At 39.4% G+C, this 10365-nt stretch overlaps 1 annotated feature.

Annotated features, from left to right (window-relative positions):
• Positions 5783 to 6982: an enhancer, noted in NCBI's record as "BRD4-independent group 4 enhancer chr5:6965968-6967167 (GRCh37/hg19 assembly coordinates)". NCBI's record gives its function as "activates an origin of replication core promoter dependent on BRD2, P300/CBP, MED14 and CDK7 cofactors, and independent of BRD4, by STARR-seq in HCT116 cells {active_cell/tissue: HCT116}" and the evidence as "EXISTENCE:reporter gene assay evidence [ECO:0000049][PMID:35650434]".

The raw sequence follows: 10365 nt of genomic DNA, 5'->3' as shown, positions 1-10365 counted from the left end.
TTACCAGTATATCATACTTTAAAACAGATTCCAATAGTACCTACATTGCTATTTTGAAAAACTGATTATCTAAGGTCCTATTTACTGTTTTTAAAGTTAATAATCAAGCTGTTCTAATTATCCAATATAAATATTAAACTGTTAAAATATTGATATAAAAAGCTTTTCACTTCATGCTTTGACAAAAAAAAATCATTTATTTAACATGTAGAACTCAATATTTAAAACCATCTGGCTTTATAAAAATTTTCTTTTCCTATTTCATTATCAAGAGAGAAACCTCAAAGTACAGTGTAGTCAGAAGGGGCTTTCTCAATTCTTCAACAACACGCTTTTTCTCATAGCGGTGTGTGGCCCAGTAGGCCAGAAAGCTGGCATGCACTTTACAGAAGTGAAATATATAGGATGGGGCTTAAGCAGGCCCTGAAGGCACAATTACTTGTGGTTCAAAAGAAGTGGCCCAAATGTCCATAGTCCCCATGCCTGCCATACGGCCTACTCTCTCCTCTCTTCTTCTCCCTGCTGAGGATCTAGAGAGAAATGGCTTTTTCACAGCCACACTACTGGGTCCGTTCTGCTGATTCCAAGCCCAGTGCTCCTTCATTGCTCTACTTCATCTAGAATCCAATAGAAACAATAACGCCCAATGAGCTGGGCTTGAACTCTGATAACAATATTAGAAGCAGGCATGAGCACAACATGTTATTGCAATTCTACCACAGCAGAATTCTGAATTCTTTCTAATTTTATATTTTAATGTTTGACAGTGCTTTGAATTATAAGTTGCCTTATTCAGTTGCAAATATTAAAAATAAATGTTTATGTGTCATTCTTAGTGTTTTGAGAATACGTATATCAGTGGCTCCATTCTTTTCAGGCTATCACGGGGTAACAGAAACGTAACTGCCCCAGCACCACTGCTTGCCTTTATAAAACACAGACCCACCAGGACAGAGATGGTGAGACTGATGCTACCAACAACAGCCAAGAAGCAGATGTCTTTGTCAATTACATGACAGCCAATTAGAGATTTATTTACAAACTATTATTACAAGCGTTGTATTTTACTTACTATATTTGAACCATTCCAATGTTGAAATACCTAGTCTCAAAGTAAAGAGAGAAAGAAACATCTGGTCTTGTTTATTTTTCTTTTTTCTTTTTTTTTTTTTTTATTATACTTTAAGTTTTAGGGTACATGTGCACATTGTGCAGGTTAGTTACATATGTATACATGTGCCATGCTGGTGCGCTGCACCCACTAACTCGTCATCTAGCATTAGGTATATCTCCCAGTGCTATCCTTCCCCCCTCCCCCCACTCCACCACAGTCCCCAGAATGTGATATTCCCCTTCCTGTGTCCATGTGATCTCATTGTTCAATTTCCACCTATGAGTGAGAATATGCGGTGTTTGGTTTTTTTTTTTCTTGCGATAGTTTACTGAGAATGATGGTTTCCAATTTCATCCATGTCCCTACAAAGGACATGAACTCATCATTTTTTATGGCTGCATAGTATTCCATGGTGTATATGTGCCACATTTTCTTAATCCAGTCTATCATTGTTGGACATTTGGGTTGGTTCCAAGTCTTTGCTATTGTGAATAATGCCGCAATAAACATCCGTGTGCATGTGTCTTTATAGCAGCATGATTTATAGTCCTTTGGGTATATAACCAGTAATGGGATGGCTGGGTCAAATGGTATTTCTAGTTCTAGATCCCTGAGGAATCGCCACACTGACTTCCACAATGGTTGAACTAGTTTACAGTCCCACCAACAGTGTAAAAGTGTTCCTATTTCTCCACATCCTCTCCAGCACCTGTTGTTTCCTGACTTTTTAATGATTGCCATTCTAACTGGTGTGAGATGATATCTCATAGTGGTTTTGATTTGTATTTCTCTGATGGCCAGTGATGATGAGCATTTTTTCATGTGTTTTTTGGCTGCATAAATGTCTTCTTTTGAGAAGTGCCTGTTCATGTCCTTCGCCCACTTTTTGATGGGGTTGTTTGTTTTTTTCTTGTAAATTTGTTTGAGTTCATTGTAGATTCTGGATATTAGCCCTTTGTCAGATGAGTAGGTTGCGAAAATTTTCTCCCATGTTGTAGGTTGCCTGTTCACTCTGATGGTAGTTTCTTTTGCTGTGCAGAAGCTCTTTAGTTTAATTAGATCCCATTTGTCAATTTTGGCTTTTGTTGCCATTGCTTTTGGTGTTTTGGACATGAAGTCCTTGCCCACGCCTATGTCCTGAATGGTAATGCCTAGGTTTTCTTCTAGGGTTTTTATGGTTTTAGGTCTAACGTTTAAATCTTTAATCCATCTTGAACTGATTTTTGTATAAGGTGTAAGGAAGGGATCCAGTTTCAGCTTTCTACATATGGCTAGCCAGTTTTCCCAGCACCATTTATTAAATAGGGAATCCTTTCCCCATTGCTTGTTTTTCTCAGGTTTGTCAAAGATCAGATAGTTGTAGATATGCGGCGTTATTTCTGAGGGCTCTGTTCTCTTCCATTGATCTATATCTCTGTTTTGGTACCAGTACCATGCTGTTTTGGTTACTGTAGCCTTGTAGTATAGTTTGAAGTCAGGTAGTGTGATGCCTCCAGCTTTGTTCTTTTGGCTTAGGATTGACTTGGCGATGTGGGCTCTTTTTTGGTTCCATATGAACTTTAAAGTAGTTTTTTCCAATTCTGTGAAGAAAGTCATTGGTAGCTTGATGGGGATGGCATTGAATGTGTAAATTACCTTGGGCAGTATGGCCATTTTCACGATATTGATTCTTCCTACCCATGAGCATGGAATGTTCTTCCATTTGTTTGTATCCTCTTTTATTTCCTTGAGCAGTGATTTGTAGTTCTTCTTGAAGAGGTCCTTCACATCCCTTGTAAGTTGGATTCCTAGGTATTTTATTCTCTTTGAAGCAATTGTGAATGGGAGTTCACTCAGGATTTGGCTCTCTGTTTGTCTGTTGTTGGTGTATAAGAATGCTTGTGATTTTTGTACATTGATTTTGTATCCTCAGACTTTGCTGAAGTTGCTTATCAGCTTAAGGAGATTTTGGGCTGAGACAATGGGGTTTTCTAGATAAACAATCATGTCGTCTGCAAACAGGGACAATTTGACTTCCTCTTTTCCTAATTGAATACCCTTTATTTCCTTCTCCTGCCTGATTGCCCTGGCCAGAACTTCCAACACTATGTTGAATAGGAGCGGTGAGAGAGGGCATCCCTGTCTTGTGCCAGTTTTCAAAGGGAATGCTTCCAGTTTTTGCCCATTCAGTATGATATTGGCTGTGGGTTTGTCATAGATAGCTCTTATTATTTTGAAATACGTCCCATCAATACCTAATTTATTGAGAGTTTTTAGCATGAAGGGTTGTTGAATTTTGTCAAAGGCTTTTTCTGCATCTATTGAGATAATCATGTGGTTTTTGTCTTTGGCTCTGTTTATATGCTGGATTACATTTATTGATTTGCGTATATTGAACCAGCCTTGCATACCAGGGATGAAGCCCACTTGATCATGGTGGATAAGCTTTTTGATGTGCTGCTGGATTCGGTTTGCCAGTATTTTATTGAGGATTTTTGCATCAATGTTCATCAAGGATATTGGTCTAAAATTCTCTTTTTTGGTTGTGTCTCTGCCCGGCTTTGGTATCAGAATGATGCTGGCCTCATAAAATGAGTTAGGGAGGATTCCCTCTTTTTCTATTGATTGGAATAGTTTCAGAAGGAATGGTACCAGTTCCTCCTTGTACCTCTGGTAGAATTCGGCTGTGAATCCATCTGGTCCTGGACTCTTTTTGGTTGGTAAACTACTGATTATTGCCACAATTTCAGATCCTGTTATTGGTCTATTCAGAGATTCAACTTCTTCCTGGTTTAGTCTTGGGAGAGTGTATGTGTCGAGGAATGTATCCATTTCTTCTAGATTTTCTAGTTTATTTGCGTAGAGGTGTTTGTAGTATTCTCTGATGGTAGTTTGTATGTCTGTGGGATCGGTGGTGATATCCCCTTTATCATTTTTTATTGTGTCTATTTGATTCTTCTCTCTTTTTTTCTTTATTAGTCTTGCTAGTGGTCTATCAATTTTGTTGATCCTTTCAAAAAACCAGCTCCTGGATTCATTGATTTTTTGAAGGGTTTTTTGTGTCTCTATTTCCTTCAGTTCTGCTCTGATTTTAGTTATTTCTTGCCTTCTGCTAGCTTTTGAATGTGTTTGCTCTTGCTTTTCTAGTTCTTTTAATTGTGATGTTAGGGTGTCAATTTTGGATCTTTCCTGCTTTCTCTTGTGGGCATTTAGTGCTATAAATTTCCCTCTACACACTGCTTTGAATGCGTCCCAGAGATTCTGGTATGTTGTGTCTTTGTTCTCGTTGGTTTCAAAGAACATCTTTATTTCTGCCTTCATTTCGTTATGTACCCAGTAGTCATTCAGGAGCAGGTTGTTCAGTTTCCATGTAGTTGAGCGGCTTTGAGTGAGATTCTTAATCCTGAGTTCTAGTTTGATTGCACTGTGGTCTGAGAGACAGTTTGTTATAATCTCTGTTCTTTTACATTTGCTGAGGAGAGCTTTACTTCCAACTATGTGGTCAATTTTGGAATAGGTGTGGTGTGGTGCTGAAAAAAATGTATATTCTGTTGATTTGGGGTGGAGAGTTCTGTAGATGTCTATTAGGTTCGCTTGGTGCAGAGGTGAGTTCAATTCCTGGGTATCCTTGTTGACTTTCTGTCTCGTTGATCTGTCTAATGTTGACAGTGGGGTGTTAAAGTCTCCCATTATTAATGTGTGGGAGTCTAAGTCTCTTTGTAGGTCTCTCAGGACTTGCTTTATGAATCTGGGTGCTCCTGTATTGGGTGCATATATATTTAGGATAGTTAGCTCCTCTTGTTGAATTGATCCCTTTACCATTATGTAATGGCCTTCTTTGTCTCTTTTGATCTTTGTTGGTTTCAAGTCTGTTTTATCAGAGACTAGGATTGCAACCCCTGCCTTTTTTTGTTTTCCATTTGCTTGGTAGATCTTCCTCCATCCTTTAATTTTGAGCCTATGTGTGTCTCTGCACATGAGATGGGTTTCCTGAATACAGCACACTGATGGGTCTTGACTCTTTATCCGACTTGCCAGTCTGTGTCTTTTAATTGGAGAATTTAGTCCATTTACATTTAAAGTTAATATTGTTATGTGTGAATTTGATCCTGTCATTATGACGTTAGCTGGTGATGTTGCTCGTTAGTTGATGCAGTTTCTTCCTAGTCTCGATGGTCTTTACATTTTGGCATGATTTTGCAGCAGCTGGTACCAGTTGTTCCTTTCCATGTTTAGCGCTTCCTTCAGGAGCTCTTTTAGGGCAGGCCTGGTGGTGACAAAATCTCTCAGCATTTGCTTGTCTGTAAAGTATTTTATTTCTCCTTCACTTATGAAGCTTAGTTTGGCTGGATATGAAATTCTGGGTTGAAAATTCTTTTCTTTAAGAATGTTGAATATTGGCCCCCACTCTCTTCTGGCTTGTAGGTTTCTTCTCTCAGCTCGTCAAAGTCATTCTCCATCCAGCTTTGTTCCGTTGCTGGTGAGGAACTGCGTACCTTTGGAGGAGGAGAGGCGCTCTGCGTTTTAGAGTTTCCAGTTTTTCTGTTCTGTTTTTTCCCCATCTTTGTGGTTTTATCTACTTTTGGTCTTTGATGATGGTGATGTACAGATGGGTTTTCAGTGTGGATGTCCTTTCTGTTTGTTAGTTTTCCTTCTAACAGACAGGACCCTCAGCTGCAGGTCTGTTGGAATACCCTGCAGTGTGAGGTGTCAGTGTGCCCCTGCTGGGGGGTGCCTCCCAGTTAGGCTGCTCGGGGGTCAGGGGTCAGAGACCCACTTGAGGAGGCAGTCTGCCTGTTCTCAGATCTCCAGCTGCGTGCTGGGAGAACCACTGCTCTCTTCAAAGCTGTCAGACAGGGACATTCAAGTCTGCAGAGGTTACTGCTGTCTTTTTGTTTGTCTGTGCCCTGCCCCCAGAGCTGGAGCCTACAGAGGCAGGCAGGCCTCCTTGAGCTGTGGTGGGCTCCACCCAGTTCGAGCTTCCTGGCTGCTTTGTTTACCTAAGCAAGCCTGGGCAATGGCGGGCGCCCCTCCCCCAGCCTCGCTGCCGCCTTGCAGTTTGATCTCAGACTGCTGTGCTAGCAATCAGCGAGATTCCGTGGGCGTAGGACCCTCCAAGCCAGGTGTGGGATATAGTCTCGTGGTGCGCCGTTTTTTAAGCCAGTCTGAAAAGCGCAATATTTGGGTGGGAGTGACCCGATTTTCCAGGTGCCTCCGTCACCCCTTTCTTTGACTCGGAAAGGGAACTCCCTGACCCCTTGCGCTTCCCAGGTGAGGCAATGCCTCGCCCTGCTTCGGCTCGCGCACGTTGCGCACACCCACTGGCCTGCGCCCACTGTCTGGCACTCCCTAGTGAGATGAACCCGGTACCTCAGATGGAAATACAGAAATCACCCGTCTTCTGCGTCGCTCACGCTGGGAGCTGTAGATCGGAGCTGTTCCTATTCGGCCATCTTGGCTCCTCCGCTGGTCTTGTTTATTTTTCATCGCACATCAGAATATGTTCCTCAGAAATATAAATGTGAATAGGAGTATTTGCAAAGAGCAAGGTATGTAAGGTTTCCTTAAACAAAAGGAGTGAGTGATCATGGTGTACAAACCCCATTAAGTTCAAATCCTATACAATATGTGCTTGAATAATTAACTTTGAGAAATATGTAAGGAGATGCTTGAATCATACTTTTGGCTAAAAGTGAGTAAGCAAACGACACTGAAACCATGTAAAAGAAGCTAACATATTGTATAAGGCTAAATGCAGTCTCAGTGCATATAGTATGATACATTGAGTCGAGAATCAGAACAATGACATTGATTTTTAGATAAAGATTAGAATTACACAAATTAAAGCTGTTTCATTCTTTCCATTATAGTGGTCTAGATCCATCTTGTCAAAGGAAAACTCCCTTTAAAATCGCTGAGCTACTATTAGTGATCAACTGCTCAGTTGTGACAACTGGTAAAATAAAAACATTCTATGATAATAAAAATAACAAAATACTCAGGGACTAGCTTAACAAGATATGTGTAGAGCCTTTAAGAAGAAAACTAGAAATAAAAATAATGGAAAAATATGAAGTGTGATAATAAGAAGATTGACTACTGTAAAGTTATTTATAAATTTCTTCAAAATTAAAATCTCAATAGTATATTTTTATAACATCACAGAATGGACATGAAGTTCCTTTGGAAAAATGAACAAAGATAGATGATTAAAAATACACTGTAGGATTAATGAAGGAAATTTTCCTACTGCATATTAATACTGAATATAAAACTGGAATGAAAAAGCAGAGCAGAACTAATAAAATAACCAAACAAGTTATTTATGAATGATTAATTTATGGATAGTTTGGTTTTACCCTTTCATATTTTTCAGTGATTTATTTGGTGACTGTGAAATTCTTTCATAATTAGACATAGTACATTTTAAAAACAATAATAATCATTACCTCCACTCTCCTGTCTCATTTGTATTTCATAGTTTTATGTGAATTACTAACTTAATTCTAACAGCAAATCAGTTTTCCTTTTCTCTGTTTTATGTCCATCAGTTTATAACTATCTTCCCACATTAAAAATAAAATCCTCCCTTGTCCCTCATAGCATCTCCAGTCTCAGTTCCCCTTCACAACACATTTCTTCTAGAAGTTTATCATTAGTGCCTCCTAACACTTACATCTCATTCCCGCTCCATCCGTTCCCATAGGTCTTCTTTTCCCATCTCTTGGCAATATCATACTTGGATCAATTGATGTTGGTGACATTGACCTTGGGAAATCGCCAGTGATCCCCAGAATTCAGAATCCAGTGGTCACATCCATGTCTTCATTTCACTTCACCTGGCAGCAGTATTTGCTGCCGCTGACCAGGTCGTTTTTCTTGAACCACTTTCTTTCTTGACTTCTATGACTTTACACACCCTTTATTTTATCATCCATTGTATTATGTAGCTCGTTGTATAGTTATTATCTTTTCTTATGTGTCTTCTCCAGCTTGCTGTGAGCTCGCAAGCAGACCACAAATAACTCACTGGTTGGATTTACTTTTAAACATAAAAATATTATAATGAATTCATATTTCTGAAATGCCCATTATAGATTAATGGTGGTATGAGGAGGATCTAGAAAGCTGACACTGGTCAAAATGGCAGGTGGGAGACAGCATTAATATTAATGAAATATCTAGCAAATAGTCCACCCTGGGATGTAGCCAAGGTCCAAGTTGAGTGACAAAGAATATAATTTACATAAGTATGTCTCATCCTTGTAATCCCATCATTTGGCAAGATGGATACATTTTTAATTAAATCATAGAGAATTCCAGTTGGAAGAGACAATATTTATCACTGGGTGTTAATTTTACCTGCTCACTTTAGCAACTTTGAATAGATCATGCAGAATTCATGGTACATTTTATTGGCAGTATTTTTTGATCTTTGGTCTGGTAAGCCATTTCTTAGGCATACGATAATATTCTCACTATTTTGTTCTCTTTCTAGACTTTATACAAGCTACTACCTTTTACTGTACCAGAAGTTGTAATTAAATACATATCTCAGCTTGTATTAGCTGTGATGTATTGTCCTGAGTGAGACTGGAGAGAAATCCTAAATCTTTGAGGAGATAGGGAGAGCATTCTACTTTCAGCAGTAAGACAAGCTCTGTGAGAGATTTTGGGGCTTTTTGCACATATGAACATAGATACACTAAAGACTATCTTCTTCTCTCTATGCACCTCTAGCAAATGATTAGCAAAGAGGAGGGGTAACCCAGAGTCTTGAACTTCTGCGTAGACATCTTCACAAAGTCATAAACAACCAAGAAATACTTCTTTGGGGAATAAAAATCCACATACTATCCAAATCATCTTCTGAAAAAAAAATAGATACACCAGTCATTCGGAATCTGGTAAACACAAATTTTATTATCTCCTTCGAAGTGGAAGCAGCAATACCTGGACTAGTGAAAGAGGAAACAAAATTCCCTCCATTGATATCAATCCAGCTGCCATCCATGTCATGGTCTGGAGAGGGCTGAGACAGTCATAGTTGAGCTTCAGATCATTTTACAATACTGCAGATGTGTAATTCACAGATCAGATAACTGGCAAGAGTTACTTGGTTTGTCATTTTATTGGAATATTTCTTAAAAGCCTCATTCATGTAGAAATGACTGCAGACCCCATACAAATGTGCACAGCAAGACTAGTCTTGGTCAGTTTATCTCATAGTGCCTATTCGGCAATTAAAGCTACACTGAAAACTAACAAATAAGTAATTAGAGGAATTATTAAAAGTTCCAGGTGCCAGAACCGAAGTGAGTCAAAGAAATACCCCCACTTTTGGTAGATATATTCACTCTTTCTTTTTCTTTTTTTGAGATGGGGTCTCACTCTGTCACCCAGGCTGGAGTGCAGTGGCAAGATCCATGGCTCACTGCAGCCTCCAACTCCTGGGCTCAACTGTACTTCTCACCTCAGCCTCTTGAGTAGCTGGGACAGACATGCATGACCGTACCCACTTAATTTATATTAATTTTTTGGCAAGACAGGGGTCTCGCTATGTTGCCCAGGCTGGTCTTGAACTCCTGGCCTCAAGTCATCCTCCTTTCTCAATGTCTCAAAGTGTTGGGATTACAGGAGTAAGCCACTGCACTCAGTCCCCTCTCTTTGCTTTTCAGGGAAATTCTTTTATGATTAGACATAAATTCTTTCATATCAGACATAGTACATTTTTTAAAACAATAATTCCCTCCACTCTTCTGTTTCATTTGTATTTGTTTCATAGTTTTATGTGCATTATTAATTCTAACAGCACATCAGTTTCCTTTTTCTCTACTGTTTTATGTCCACTGGTTTATAAATATCTTCCCATGTTAAAAAACAAAATCCTCCCTTGTCCCTCATATCACTTGCAATCTCAATTCCTCTTCACAAGACATTTCTTCTAGAAGAAATTTATCATTAGTGCCTCCTAACGCTTACATCTCATTCCCCCTCCACCCACTCCAACAGGTCTTGTTTTCCCATCATTTGGCAACATCATACTTGGAACAATTGATGTTGGTGACACTGATCTTGGGAAATCACCAATGATCCCCAGAATTCAGAATCCAGTGGTCACATCCATGTCTTCATTTTGTATAAAAGGAGTGATATTTTATAAAAGGAGTAATTACAAAGAAAATGTTGGTGGGGATTTGGCAAGGAAGAGCTCGGGTATTCAGCAGCATCTGCACAACGACAGCTTTGCCTGGCGAGTGACAGTCGGTGTG

Source organism: Homo sapiens, chromosome 5 (genome assembly GCF_000001405.40).
Source record: "Homo sapiens chromosome 5, GRCh38.p14 Primary Assembly".
Taxonomy (NCBI): domain Eukaryota; kingdom Metazoa; phylum Chordata; class Mammalia; order Primates; family Hominidae; genus Homo; species Homo sapiens.
The sequence above is the reverse complement of the archived record's forward strand: the minus strand, read 5'-3'. Positions and strand labels throughout refer to the sequence as shown.